A 15,853-nucleotide genomic window follows, 5' to 3' on the forward strand; every position below is an offset into this window, starting at 1 on the left:
AGTCTTCCTTTTATTTCCAAATTAGACATTTTGGGGGTGTTTGTTTGTGAGACAGGGTCTCACTCACTCTGTTGCCCCAGCTGGAGTACAGTGGCGTGATCTCAGCTCACTGCAACCTCTGCCTCCCAGGTTCAAGCGATTCTCCTATCTCAGCCTCCTGAGTAGCTGGGATTACAGGAGCCCACTACCAAGCCCGGCTAATTTAAATTTGGCATTTTTGAAAGTAAATACCTTAAAATGAAAGATACTCTAAAACAGAATCTGTGATAATTTCCAAATGTTTTACATACAATTTGATGGTAATGAAACAACCCCATTTACAGATGGAGAAAATTATTATCTATGATCAATAATCAAAGTATTACAGGCTGGGTATGGTGGCTCACGCCTATAATCCCAGCACTTTGGGAGGCTGAGGCAGGATGACAGCTTGAGCCCTGGAGTTCCAGACCAATCTAGGCAACATAGGGAGACCCTGTCTCTATGAAAAAAATTTAAAAATTGGCCAGACATGGTGGCAAATGCCTATATTCCCAGCTACAGCTACACAGGATGCTGAGGTGGGAGGATCACGTGAGCCAAAAAAAAAAAAAAGGGGGGGGGGGGAAGAAGGAGGAAGAAGAAGAAGGAAGAAGAAGAGGAAGAGGAAGAAGAAGAGGAAGAGGAAGAAGAAGAAGAAGAAGAAGAAACAAACCACTATCACTATATACCCTTTTGCTCACTTAAGAAGCTTCCTGGACACTCCACTCTCTTGCCTAAGTATCCTACTAACCCAGTGTCATTTTAATAAGGCAAACTAACCTAGGTCCAAAAGTCTATGAATACTAAGATAGGAAACAATGTAAATTAGGCTAAGGCTAAGACTATAAAAAAAAAAAAATAAACAGCACTATACTACTTTAGTGTAACCAATACATTTTGGATAAATTTAAAAAAAAAAACTGTCCACCCTATTTACTATAATGAAGGTAATTTTCTTAGAAGCCTGTTATTCATATGGTCCAAAAGAATGTTTTTCTAGCCCTGATCCATTCTATTTGCATTAAAAAATGGGGCAAGGGGATATTTAAAATATCATTTCCTGGGCTAGGCGTGGTGGCTCACGCCTGTAATCCCAGCACTTTGGGAGGTTGAGGCGGGTGGATGACCTTAGGTTAGGAGTTCGAGACTAGCCTGGCCAACATGGTGAAACCCTGTCTCTGCTAAAAAATACAAAAATTAGCCAGGCGTGATGGCACATGCCTGTAATCCCAGCTACTTGGGAGGCTGAGGCAGAAGAATCACTTGAACCCGGGAGGCAGAGGTTGCAGTGAGCCGAGATCGCACCACTGCACTCCAGCCTGGGCAACAATAGCGAAACTGTCTCCAAAAAATAAATAAATAAAATAAAATATCATTTCCTGAACCCTACCCCAGACCTGCTGATTTATGCTGGTCAGAATCGACATTAAATTTTTTGCTTGTTTTCTTTTTCAGTAGATACAAACTCTTGCTATGTGGCCCAGGCTGGTCTTGAACTCTGAACTCAAGCCATCCTCCCACCTCAGCCTCCCAAAGTGCTGGGGTTACAGGCGTGAGCCCCTGCACTCAGCCTCAGAATCTACTTTTTTTTTTTTTTTTTCCTGAGACAGAGTTTCACTCTTGTTGCCCAGGCTGGAGTGCAATGGCGTGATCTTGGCTCACCGCAACCTCCGCCTCCCAGGTTCAAGCAATTCTCCTGCCTCAGCCTCCCGAGTAGCTGGGATTACAGGCATGCACCACAACGCCCGGCTAATTTTGTATTTTTAGTAGAGACGGGGTTTCTCCATGTTGAGGCTGGTCTTGAACCCCTGACCTCAGGTGATCCGCCCGCCTCAGCCTCCCAGAGTGCTGGGATTACAGGCGTGAGCCACTGCACCCGGCCTGAATCTACATTTTTAACAAGAACCCAAGGTGATTCTGCTGAAAGCCATAAGACTAATAATGGAAAAAGCACTGGGGTAGAAGTAAGAAGACTTGTTTAGTAAAGGTAGCTCCTATCCTTAGCAGTTTCACCTCAGATAAACATTTAAGTTTCTCAATCTTTTAAGTGGCATTATGTCTTATTCTATATACTGGAGAGAGAAATATATAGGTATATAAAACATATAGCCATATTTAATTCCTGACACCCCCAAATCTTGTAAAAATATGGCTATATGGAGGGTATAGCAAGGTCACAGTGCTTACTAGTTGCAGAGTTAGAATTGAACCCAGGTGAAATTTCAGATGAGCTCACAAAGTAGTAACTTGCGGTTCAAATACAGCCTGGTATGTTTTGTTTAATTTCATTATTTTAGACTTCAAGCCAACATTTATCAATTAGAACATTTCACAGAAAAGGAATCTGAATTCCTGGCTGCTTTTAACAATTTTAGAAGATCCAGCAACACTGAGATTATAATCTTAGGTGGCAACAATTACCTTCTCTAAACACAGCAAAACTCACACCACTTGCTATTGTCTCACACTCACTCAATTTCAACAACGTATGCTATCATCGGGCCCCAACTCCTACTTCAGGTCTACATTCTTTGCTCCCTCCTTTTGAACCAAATGGGATTTACAAGAAAACCAAGTGGGATTTCTATCTACTGGTTTGGGAAGATTTAGTGAGAAAGGAAATACTGGATTTAAAACTAATAAACTACATTTGAAATACTACATAAAAATATATTACACTTTGTTCTCTTTTCCGAGTGTTTTAAGTGCCATTGTTTTGAATTTTGGTGGTAAATTTTAAATGAACTTTTGAAAGATTTTAATAAAATATGTTTATTATAAAACACTTTTTACTTTATGTTCTTATCATTTTCAGATTTCATTCCACTTTAAAATACCAACGCTTCTCATGGAAGAATAAAGAGATTCCACTAACTCACAGACACCTGTACTCCATGTATCTATCAGCAAGTATAGATGCACAGATAGAAAATAGTTGGTTGCTTCTTTATTCTCACAATCTGAGACTTTTCACTTGTTAATTATTATAAAAAATTTGAAATTATAACTTAAATTGCTCAATTCTCTATTAAGCTTCCACTGTACCTTTAACTTCACAATTAAAACAATCATTATACTGTATTAAATTTGTTACATTATTTGTTTCCCTATTAGAAATAAACCTCTGGAGGGCAGAGGTTCTATCTTATTCACTCTTAAAGACTTAGTACAGATCTGGCACATTCTTTTTCTCTTTTTCTTTGGAGACAGAGTCTTACTCTGTCACCCAGGCGGCTCACTGTAACCTCCGCCTCCTGAGTTCAAGCTATTCTCATGCCTCAGCCTTCCAAGTAGCTGGGATTACAGGCGTGCACCAACATGCCTGGCTAATTTTTGTATATTTTGGTAGAGAGGGTTTCGCCATGTTGGCCAGGCTGGTCTTGAACTCCTAGCCTCAAGTGATCCACCTGCCTCGTCCTCCCATAGAGCTGTGATTACAGTCGTGAGCCACCACACCCAACCCAGATCTGGCACCTTTTAAGCATGCAATAAACATATGCAGAATACAAAACAAGAAAAACAGCAACAGAGAATACATAAATGCACAGTAATTACTATCCTTTAGGAATTTACAGTCTACTGAATTAGGTAAAAGAGACACATCAACAAAAATTATACAAGATTGAATATTTAAAATGCCACAGGAGAGAAACAGAAAGTAGAAGTCAGGGAGGAAATTATAGTATGAGACATAAGTTACAGTATTTTCTTTTTCCCTGGACACCAATTTCCATCCCTAAATATTTGGCAAAAGTTCTTACCACTCAACTTTAGCCTTAAGTTTCTAGTGAATTTATACTCATCATGAAGAATATATATGACCACTTCAAGTGCCCTACGAGAATATATCACATTCAGAATTATCTCCACTTTTTCTGGCCTGAATAACTACTGTATATTTCAATTCGGTGGCACTGGTATTTCTCACCACCATCATATCTCTCCAGGATAGGGAAGTAAGCTAGCACCTACAGTTTAGGTACATTACAGCATATTGGTTAAAAGCATAGGTTTTGGCACCAAGATTCTACCACTTATCTGCTGTAAGATCTTGGGCAGGCTGGGCGTGGTGGCTTAAGCCTGTAATCCCAGCACTTTGGGAGGCCGATTCGGGCGGATTGCCCGAGGTCAGGAGTTTGAGACCAGTCTGGCCAACATAGTGAAACCCCGTCTCTAATAAAAATACAGGAAAATTAGTCAGGTGTGGTGGCATGCACCTATAATCTCAGCTAGTTGGGAGGCTGAGGCAGGGGAATTGCTTGAACCAGGGAGGTGGAGGTTGCAGTGAGCCGAGACTGCACCACTGCACTCCAGCCTGGGTGACAGAGCAACACTCCGTCTCAAAAAAAAAAAAAAAAAGAAAAAAAAAAAAAGGAAAAAAGATCTTGGGCAAAGATCTTTTGGTAAAATGCTCTTTGGGTAAAATGGGAGTATCTACCTCAAAGAGGATTTAAGTTAGAAAATCCATGTCCAAGCACTCAGTAAACACTTAATAAATGATGGCTATTATAAAAGATTAACACTAAATCTAGTGAATAGGGGCTTGCTAGTCAAACATGTGCATAAACTGACTATATATTGTCTTCATAGTTGACCTGTTTTATCAGCCTTCATAGTTATTCCTTCCTTTCCATTTCCACTATTACTCTTTCAAGTCCTTATCTATACTCATACCCAGACAACTTTCTAAATGGTTTTCCATCTCCATCCTCAGACATTCTTTGAGCAGACTATTATTTTATTTCCATCACCAATGCCTGGCTGGGATAATGAAAAGAGATTTCGATGGCAAATCAAAGAATTTGGGTTTGGGTTTCAGCCCTATCATTAAAACATTTTGGAACCCTAAAAATAAATTTCTCAACTGTATAGTGAGTTTTAACTTATCTTCAATATCTTTTTTTTTTTTTCTGAGATAGGGTCTTACTTTGTCACTCAGGCTGGAGTGCAGTGGCATGATCTCAGCTCACTGCAACCTCGTCGACCTTCTGGGCTCATGCGATTCTCCCACCTCATTCTCCCAGGTGGCTGGGACTACAGGCACATGCCATCACGCCCAGCTAATTTTTTCTTTGCATTTTAAGTAGAGATGGGGTTTTGCCATGTTGCCCAGGCTGGTCTCGAACTCCTGAGCTCAAGCATCCACCCACATTGGCCTGCCAAAGTGCAAGGATTACAGGCGTGAGCCACCACACCCGGCCTTCAGTATCTCTTCTGGCTGTAAGTCTATACCTCTGCTCTGATCAAGGTGTCTTTGGCTTACAAAATACAATTCCAGATTGGAGGAGCATTAAGGCCTTCCACATTCAGTGTGGCATGAGCTTTGGAGGCAGAAGGACTGAGATCTGAATCCTGATTCTATAGTTTACTGGTTGCTTACCCTTGGGCAACATATTGGACTTCTCTAAGACTCAGTTTCTTCCACAAAATGGGACAACAGTAATTCTCTCAGGGGCTTATTATAAGATTTAAATGAGATATTTGTTAAGTGCTTAGCATATATGAGATTTGTGCCTATATTAATATTTCCCATTTCTCCCTTCTAGTTGTAGGTAGGTAGGTAGGTAGGGGTGTGTGTGTGTGTGTGTGTGTGTGTGTGTGCAGGCGCGCGTTTTGAGACATGCTCTCACTGTCATCCAGGCTGGAGTACACTCGCAATGACACGGCACCCTGCAGCCTCAACTTCATGGCCTCTCGTGATCCTCCCACCTAAACCACCAAGTAGCTGGGACTAAGGGTGCACATCACCATGCCAGGCTAATTTTTTATTTTTTATTTTTTGGTAGAGACAGGGTCTCACTATGTTGCCCAGGCTGGTCTCAAACTCCTGAGTTCAAGAGATGTTTCGACCTCAGCCTCCCAAAGTGTTGGGGATTACAGGCATGAGCCATCGTGCCCAGCCTAGTTACAGTTTTTAAACTATTCCTGGAGACCTAGAACTCTGCTTCAATCAAAACAACTGCTGGGTTGCCCCCTCTTTCATATACTGAAGTTTAACCTCAAAAAAAAAAAATTGAGGTGGTTTCTTCTGTTAAAAAACGCATAAAATCCACTACACCATGGACATAATCTGCTCCAATTAGCCACACCTACTCTTTGTCAACTGCAATTACCTTGTATACATCAGTATCTCCTATCTTTGGTAATATCTATTCCTCCCTCCTCAGGACTTAGTGAAGTCACCCCTAGTTATTCTTCTTTTGAACACTTACAGCATTTTATTATTATTTAGAGAAAAGGTCTTGCTCTGTTGCCCAGGTTGGAGTGCAGTGGCACAATCATAGCTGTAACCTTCAAATCCTAGATTCAAACAATCCTCCCACCTCAGCCTCCCAAGTAGCTAGGAATATAAGTGTGCACTACCTTGCCTAATTTTTAGAAGGGGTCTCACTATGTCGCCCAGGCTGGACTTGAACTCCCAGGCTCAACTGATCCCTCTGCCTTAAACTTTTGAGTAGCTAGGACTACAGGCACATGCCACTGGAACTGCAACTTCTTTTCTGATTGTTATTTTGCCATGACTTAACTCACATTTAAGGTCTTTTCATTTATCCTTTAAATGTGATGATCTCCGTACTGAGAAACAAGTAGTCCCTTTCTATACAGCATGCAAGTTTATCATTCTCATTCAGTCTCCTCTCCTGCAATCCCTTTCATCTTTATATTTATTTTAATTTTTGTAGAGACAGGGTATGTTCCCCAGGCTAGTCTTGAACTCCTGGCCTCAAGCAATCCTCCTGCTTTGGTCTCCCACAGTGCTGGGACTGCAGGGGTGAGCCACCACATCCGGTCCTTTCCTTTTCTGTTTTATCCCTAAAACCTAACCTCTTACCTTAGACTGCCAATTCTGACTAATCTTGTTTATTACCTGGGCCTCTTCTCTATAGTTTATATTTATTCCATTAAAAAGGTCAAAGGCTCTACAAGCTCTATATTTTATTTTATTAAATGTGGATTGTGAATAACTAAAATTATGGTTGCCTTTGGCAACTGTATGAAGACTCCAAGACCCATTTAATTAGCAGGAAACAGAGATTATAGCTACATGCTTCTTCAAATACACCAGCTCTGTGTATAACTAAGCTTTTCTGACAATCCATACCTTGATTTGTGATTTGGGGGAGCTACATATTTGCTATTCCCCCACCAACCTATTCCTATTTTCAGTATCAGCTTTTCCTAAGAAGGGAAAAGGTATAAATATTGATTTCAAAGTTAGGCTTATATTTGAATGGCAGACCCTCGGTAGCTGTATCATCTTTCCAAAACTTTCCATTTATAAAATGAGTGGCCGGGCATGGTGGCTCACGCCTGTAATCCCAGCACTGTGGGAGGCCGAGGTGGGCAGATCACCTGAGTTCGGGAGTTCGAGACCAGCCTGACCAACATGGAGAAACCCCATCTCTACTAAAAATACAAGATTAGCCAGGCGTGGTGGCACATGCCTGTAATCCCAGCTACTCGGGAGGCTGAGGCAGGAGAATCGCTTGAACCAGGAGGTAGAGGTTGCGGTGAGCCGAGATCGCGTCATTGCACTACAGCCTGGGCAACAAGAGTGAAACTCTATCTCAAAAAAAAAAAATTAAAAAAAATAAAATTAAATGAGCATATTAATATCTATTTCATTAAATGAGACCATGCAAAACATCCAGACTCTAGATCAATATTTGGCACATAATAAATATTAAGCATTATTTCCTTTTTATAAAGGAAAACATGAATTGAAAAGGGAAAGTAAGATAGAAAGACAACTTAGCTTCTGTAAAGACTTCAGAAAAATGTATCTATGTCACTATAATATTAATGAAAATATTTTCTCAAAAAATGATTTTTCTTGACAGAGTTTCGCTCTTGTCACCCAGGCTGGAGTGCATTGGCATGAACTCAGCTCACTGCAACCTCCGCCTCCTGGGTTCAAGCAATTCTCCTGCCTCAGCCTCCCGAGTAGCTGGGATTACAGGCACTCGCCACCATGCCCCGCTAATTTTGTATTTTTAGTAGAGGTGGGGTTTCGCCATGTTAGCCAGGCTAGTCTCGAACTCCTGAACTTAGGTGATCCACCTGCCTCGGCCTCCCAAAGTGCTGGGATTACAGGCGTGAGCCATAGCGCCCAGACAAAAAATGATTTTTCTTAAGAAATCAGTAAAATATTTATAGTGATTGATTGAGACAGGTCTTGCTTATTTATTTATAGAGACAGGTCTAGCTATGTTGCCCAGGCTAAGGTGCAGGAAGTGCAGTGGCACATCACAGCTCACTATAACCTCCAACACTAGGTAGGGCTCAAGCGATTCTCTCGCCTCAGCCTCCCAAGTAGCTAGGACTACAGGCGTGTGCCATCACACCTGGTTAATTTTTCTATTTCTGTTAAGATGAGGTCTTGTTATATTGTCTAGGTTGGTCTCAAATTCCTGGCCTCAAGCTACCCTCCTGCCTCAGCCTCCCAAAGTGTTGGGATTATAGGCATGAGCCACCACACCAGGCCAGAAGTGAGTGCAATATTAATTCATATTCTAATTTAACAATAAAGCCTAAATTGTAACATTACATGTTTCTATTCTATTCTTTTGAATTCAAATCTAGTTTTCAGCCTGTAATCCTAGCACTTTGTAAGCACAAGGTGGGAAGACTGCATGAGGCCAGGAGTTTGAGACCAGCCTGTACAACATAGAAAGACCTCATCTCCAATGGAAAAAAAAAAAGTCTAATTTTCCTTTAGTCATAAAATGTAGTCTAAACATATTTGAGACTTATGTAATGCAGGCCTTACCCTACATTGTATTCACCATTTATTTCCTAACTGAAACAAGACTGGGAAGGAGGTATACATAAATAAAACCAAAGAAATACCCCCAACTCTACTCTGTTTTCATTCTGCCTTCTTTAGGTCTTTTCTCAAACAATTATATTTTTTGAATAGTAATACAAGTACAGAACAATTTTTTTTTTTTGAGACACAGTCTCGCTCTGTTGCCCAGGATGGAGTGCAGTGGCGCAATCTCGGCTCACTACAACCTCTACTGCTGGGTTCAAGTGATTCTCCTGTCTCAGCCTCCTGAGTAGCTGGGATTACAGGCACGCACCACCACACCCAGCTAATTTTTATATTTTTAGTAGAGAAGGGGTTTCACCATGTTGGCCAGGCTGGTCTTGAACTCCTGACCTCAGGTGATCTGCCCGCCTCGGCCTCCCAAAGTGCTGGGATTACAGGTGTGACCCACTGCAACTGGCCCAAATTTTAAAAATATAGTAAAATGCAACTCAGTTTCCCTTCAGAGAGTCTATCTTTAACAAAAATTTTATCTTTATGGTCAAGTAAATACAAACATAAATATACAGGCACACTCCTGTATGCCCACAGAATGTACCATTTTAATATTTCACAATAATGCCTCAGTTTTACTATACAAGCTACAGAGAATGTTCATCTCTCTCAACATATTTTTTGGCTAATGATTTTATAAAGTAAAATTTTTACATTTATTTATTTCAATCCCAAAACTTAATACAATGTTCTTAAAACGATGTGTGAGATGTCTGGAGATACACTCCAAATAAAACAAGCAAAACTTTGAAAAAGCTGCTTCAGTATCAACAAACGGAATGTACATGTTATTACATAGGAAGCAACTGTGTGTTAACAATCATATTAATTATTTAGTAACCAGGAAGATGTGCTTAAGAATTTTATATCCTAAAAATTTTGTTAATTGCATGAAAAGGCCAGGCATGGTGGATCACACCTATAATCCCAGCACTGTGGGAGTCCAAGGTGGGAGGATCACATGAGCCCAGGAGTTCGAGACCAGCCTGGAAGACTAGTGAGACCTAGTCTCTACAAGAAATTTCTTAAAAATTAGTCAGGCGTTCGCCGGGCGCAGTGGCTCATGCCTGTAATCCCAGCACTTTGGGAGGCCGAGGTGGGCAGATCACGAGGTCAGGAGATGGAGACCATCCTGGCTAACACGCTAAAACCCCGTCTCTACTAAAAAAAAATACAAAAAATTAGCCAGACACGGTGGCAGGCGCCTGAAGTCCCAGCTACTCAGGAGGCTGAGGCAGGAGAATGGCGTGAACCCGGGAGGTGGAGCTTGCAGTGAGCCGAGATTGTGCCACTGCACTCCAGCCAGCCTGGGCGATGGAGCGAGACTCCATTTCAAAAAAAAAAAAAAAAATTAGGCATGGTGGCATGCGCCTGTAGTCCCCACTACTCATGGGTCTAAGGCAGGAGGATCACTTGAGCCCAGGAGATCAAGGCTGCAGTGAGCTATGATTATGCCACTGTACTCCAGCCTGGGCAACAAAGCAAGACTCTGTCTCAAAGGAAAAAAAAAAAAAAAAAAGCTGGATTCAAGAACACATCCATTTTAATTTTTAAGTAATCCAAGTTGTTCCCTGTAATGTTTTCACTAGTTGATATTCTCATGGCTATGATGTAAGTACCTATTTTCCCATAATCTTACCAGGCTAACTTTGGTCTTTCTCAAGCTGATAAATACCTGAAGGAAACTTGTTCTTTGCCTATAATGAGATATTACAGATATTTTCCCCAGTCTGTTTGTTGACTTTGTTTATGATGAAATATAGCCAAACTTATCCTTTCCTTTTTTTGAGACAGGCTTGCTCTGTTGCCCAGGCTGGAGTACAGTGGCACAATCACAGCTCACTGCAACTTCGAACTCCTGGAGTCAAGGGATCCTCCTGCCTCAGCCTTCCAAATAGCTAGGAATACAGATGCACGCCACCATGCCTGGCTAATCTATTTTTTAAAATTTTTTAGGAACTGGGTCTTGTTGTTGCCCAAGCTGGTCTTGAACCCTTGGCCTCAAGTGATCTTCCCACCTTGGCCTCCCAAAGTCCTGGGATTACAGGTGCTTAAGTCACTGTGCCTGGCCTTAACCTTTTCTCAAGGGCTTCTAAGTTTTGGGTTATGCTCAGAAAAGCTTTTCTTACTCAAATATTATTTTAAGATAATAATTCTACCATTGTTCATCCTAATAATTTCATGATTTCATTTTTTACATTTAAACCTCTCATTCACCTGGAATCTATGTGGGGTAAGGAATGACAATGGGGACCCAACTTTTAAAATTCTGGGTTGTTATTCAGTTGTTCCAATGCCACGACTGAGTGACTGATGCTCTTTCTAGATGTTAGATTTTTCAGAAGTTAGACTCAGGAGTAGAGATGACTAGTGAGCTCAGAATTAGTGAAACAGACACCAAAATTAGGGATTTAGGGGCTCTAAAACACATCTAACATCAAAAGCACAGATCCTGAAGTCCAACATCTATCACATATAAAGCAATATTAACTATTACTGTTGTTAATCTTGGAAGCCCTAAGGATGGATTATCTCTAATTCAGTTAAAAGAACTATGTACTATACAATAGGTGTTAATAATAAGCATATATGGCATTTTTATAGTCTGTATAATGCAAGTTCACTTACTTTGTTTTCATAACTACTCTTTAAGAAGACAGGCAGAGATTTTAATATCCATTTATTGCTGAGGAAAATAATTCAGTAATGGTACCTTGTCCCTTCACTTATAGGAAATGGTAGTGCCAAAATCAAACCCAGATCTTTTATTTCCAAATGTTAACAAACTGCCATTACACCCTGCACCAAGTACTTTTACACAAAAATTAGTGAGACTTCCTACTCACAAGGGGGTTGAAACAATTTTTTAATTAAATATTCAGACTGATCACATACTTAATTTAAGTATGAAAGGAGTGCACAAAAGTAGAAAACATCATCCTTGGCTTCAAGGAAACTTCAAAGGTCTACAGCAGTTAAAAAAAAAAGCAAGACTTGAGGGACTGGGAAATAAACCTGAAAGTCAGGAACCATGTCTTATCTACTCTCCATGTCTTAGGGTATTTACTGCTGGTATAACAAGAATGTAGTGTTAGGTCAGTAAATATGTGTTGGTTGTCTAAATGTACTCATCGAACCTTCTAAACAGGGTGAGATAGGAAATAATATCAGACCCCATTCATTTTTCCTAGGAGCTAAACTTTTGTCTGTCACCAAAGAATCAGCCAAATCATCAAATAGTACTTACACAATGTAACAAAGAAACTTCAGGCACCATTTCTGGGCTACACCTATTGACTAAATGTATTTCACAGAAAAATAAAAATTTTGAACTACATTCCATTTCAAAGCTGACAAAAGGTTATAAAACAATTTCCAGAACTGAATCCAGTCTAAATGCTACAAAATACAACTATCATTCACTCTTGCTTTATTCTGAATTAAACATATCCTCTGTTTCTATAATAAACAATTGTTCATAATATTTCTCATCAGTAGTGCTTTTTTTGTGTTGTTTCCTTCAGATATCTTGTCAACATTATCTTTTCTTCAGGTCTTTTATTTTTTAATACTAATAATTATCGGCCATATATAATAACTTTTTTAAAATTTCTGAAATATTTTAACAAATACTAAAGGAGAATGAAATGTGAATAAGAAAATGGGTACAAAAATAAACTCAGTTTACAAAGTACAATTTAATATCCTGCCACAGATAACTTCATTCCAGAGTCTGCATGCCCTATTCTCCAATCTATTCAGTAACAAGACATCAGCACTGGAGCACCAAGAACTGCAACTTTTGTTGGCAAAAGCCTTGCATGGGTCAAAATAATTTTTAAAGCTTTGACAAAAAAGCCCAAAAGGACCAGGCTTAAAATTTTAGTGGATGGTTGCATGTGAGATATGTTAAGAGTCCTAAACTCAAATCAAAAGGAAAGTTGACAATGAACTAGTCAATGTGAAGAACTTACAAAAGCATAAGCCCAGAAATCACATGCGATGCCTACTGTTTACACTAGAGTGACAGGGCTTTTTTGAATGGTTATTTATATCAAAGGTTTAGTATGGTCAAAGAAATCTGTCATAAATTGCCTCAATATGCAATAAATGTGGATATATTCTAGGTTAAATTATGTGGGTACTATAGAAAGAGGTATGTGAGAGAAACCAGCACAATGCCTGCATGTACACTGCTGAATCCGACACTAGGAAGTAAACAGTCAGTTATGAAACAAACTCAATTCTTAATGTTGGAAACAGAATAAGGCTCCATTCTTTTTGGAGAATAAAGATACTAATCATTTAAAACAGATGGACTTTGCACCAACAATGTAAATATACTTCACATACACAACTGTACACTTAAAAATGATTAAGATGCTAAATTTTATGTTATGTGTTTTGGAAAGGGTGAATTTTATTTTATTTATTTATTTATTTTAAACAGAGGGTCTTGCTCTGTCACCCAGGCTGGAGTGCAATGGCCCAATCATAGTTCACTGCATCCTTCAAATCCTGGGCTCAAGTGATCCTCCCACCTCAGCCTCCCTAGTAGCTGGGACTATAGGTGTGTGCCACCAAGTCCAGCCAATTAATTTTTTTTTTTTGTAGAGATGGGGGTCTTGCTATATTGCCCAGGCTGGTCTCAACTCCTGGCCTCAAGTAATCCTTCTGCCTCAGCTTCCCAAAGTGCTGGGATTTCAGGCGCTAGCCACTGCACCCGGCTATGTTATCCGTTTTTTAACAATTAAAAAGAAAAAAAACCTTCAAATGAGCTTTAAATTTCCCTTGAATTTTTAAATGAATAGATTTATGAGTTATTGAGTACTTACTATATATACTTGTTACCATGGAGATGGAGGCAAAATATGGATAAAACCTAACTCCTCTTTTCAAGAAGCTCAAAGTTTAAAGGGAACCAAAATTCTAAACTGTTTTTTTTTCGTGTGTGTGTGAGACAGAGTCTCACTCTGTCACCCAGGCTAGAGCGTAGTGGTGCGATCAAGGGTCACTGCAGCCTCAACCTTCCGGGCTCAGGCAATCCTCCTACCTTAAACCTCTTAACTGGGACCACAGGCATGGACTACCAAGCCCAACTAATTTTTGGGGGGTGGGGTGTAGGGGGAGATAGAGATGGGGTCTATGTTGCCTAGGCTGGTCTCAAACTCCTGGGCTCAGGTGATCCTCCTGCCTCAACCTCCCAAAGTGCTGAGGTTACAGGCATAAGCCACAGCACCCTGCCTAAAATCTCCTTAAAAACAAAAATTGAAAATAACTTTGGATCATCCAAAGTAGGTGAGTAGCCATTTACCTATCCTTTCTTAAACACATTATCTATCTCTTCTCCCTCCTTTCTCTCTGCAGGTTCTAGTTGTACTTTAAAGTCTCTGATGCTTAACATAAAAAATTCTGGGATTCAAACAGATTTGCTAGCCACTATGAACCAGCCCCACCTTGTGTGCCTGAACAAAGAGAATAACAATCAACAATGTTCCTGGGTGTCCTCGAATAGAAGAGGTATTTCAAATTGGAGAGAAAAGCAAATCTAGTCTTCTGACCTTCTTCTAAAACAATCACCTCCATTCAAGTCAACCCAACACTTAAAACTATGCAAACCACTGGGACAAATTCTATCAAAAAGCCATCTCCATTTCAGTCCTGATTATCTTCTCTCTTCTGGGCTCTTACAAAATCTGTGGTCTATCCCATACGAATTGCTCTTAATCAGAGTATTCTTTGTATTGTTTGTAAAGAGTTCTTGTGCCACTGGAAAACAAGTTTAAAGGTAATTAAATCTTCTATTTCCCCAGAAGAATAGGTTAATGCTTAGTAATGAATATTTCATTAAAACATATTTATTGAGCATCTCCCATGTGTCACCAGTCAATAGAATTTGTAGAAGTAGAATTTTAAAATTAAAGGTTTTAATAACTGAAACATCCTGGCCAGGCGCGGTGGCTCACACCTATAATCCCAGCACTTTTGGAGGCCGAGGCGGGCGGATCACGAGATCAGGAGATCGAGACCATCCTGGCTAACACGGTGAAACCCCGTCTCTATAAAAATACAAATAATTAGCTGGGCGTGGTGGCAGGCGCCTGTAGTCCCAGCTACTTGGGAGGCTGAGGCAGGAGAATGGCGTGAACCCGGGAGGTGGAGCTGGCAATGAGCCGAGATCGCGCCGCTGCACTCTAGCCTGGGCGACAGAGCGAGACTCCACTTCAAAATATAAATAAATAAATAAATAAATAAATAAATAAATAACTGAAACATCCTATTTCAAGCCCTGTCCTCCTGGTTTCTCTCTTTTTAATTAATTAATTAATTTTTTCTTTTTTAAAAGATCAAGACAGGGTCTTGCTATCTCACCCAGGCTGGTTTTGAACACGTGGCCTCAAACAGTCCTCCTGCCTCAACCTCCCAAACTGCTGGGATTACAGACATGAGCCACTGCACCTGTCCTTGTGTTCCTCTCAACACACTTGAATTGATCAGACTTTGGCATTCAAACTGAAAATCCATTTCCTGAATTCAAAGAATTAGTCAACAGTAGCACACTTCTCCCCAAAGATGCCTATTATACAATAAGCTCCCGCATGACCAGATGTAGAGGCACAACGATTCCCGTAATTTTTTTCTTTTCTTTTGAGACGGAGTCTCACTCTGTTGCCCAGGCTGGAGTACAGGTGCACGATCTTGGCTCACTGCAACCTCCGCCTTCCAGGTTCAAACAATTCTCTGCCTCAGGCTCCCAAGCTGGGACTACAGGCATGTGCCACCACGCCTGGCTAATTTATGTATTTTTAGTAGAGATGGGGTTTCACCAGTTGGCCAGGCTGGTCTTGAATTCCTGACCTCATGATCCACCTGCCTCGGCCTCCCAAAGTGCTGGGATTACAGGCGTGAGCCACCGCGCCCGGCCAATTCCCATAATTTCTGAGGTAGCATTCATATCACATCTGCAAAGAACAAACAGTAGCTCTTGAATCTGAGAAAGCTAAAAAG

General features: G+C 40.4%; 1 protein-coding gene across 13 annotated transcripts in view; it reads right to left on the minus strand.

Moving 5' to 3' along the window:
* GPATCH8 (G-patch domain containing 8) overlaps positions 1 to 15,853 on the minus strand; it is a 108,126-nt gene that overhangs the window by 52,629 nt on the left and 39,644 nt on the right. The window lies entirely within an intron of this gene.

This window comes from Homo sapiens, chromosome 17 (assembly GCF_000001405.40).
Source record: "Homo sapiens chromosome 17, GRCh38.p14 Primary Assembly".
Taxonomy (NCBI): domain Eukaryota; kingdom Metazoa; phylum Chordata; class Mammalia; order Primates; family Hominidae; genus Homo; species Homo sapiens.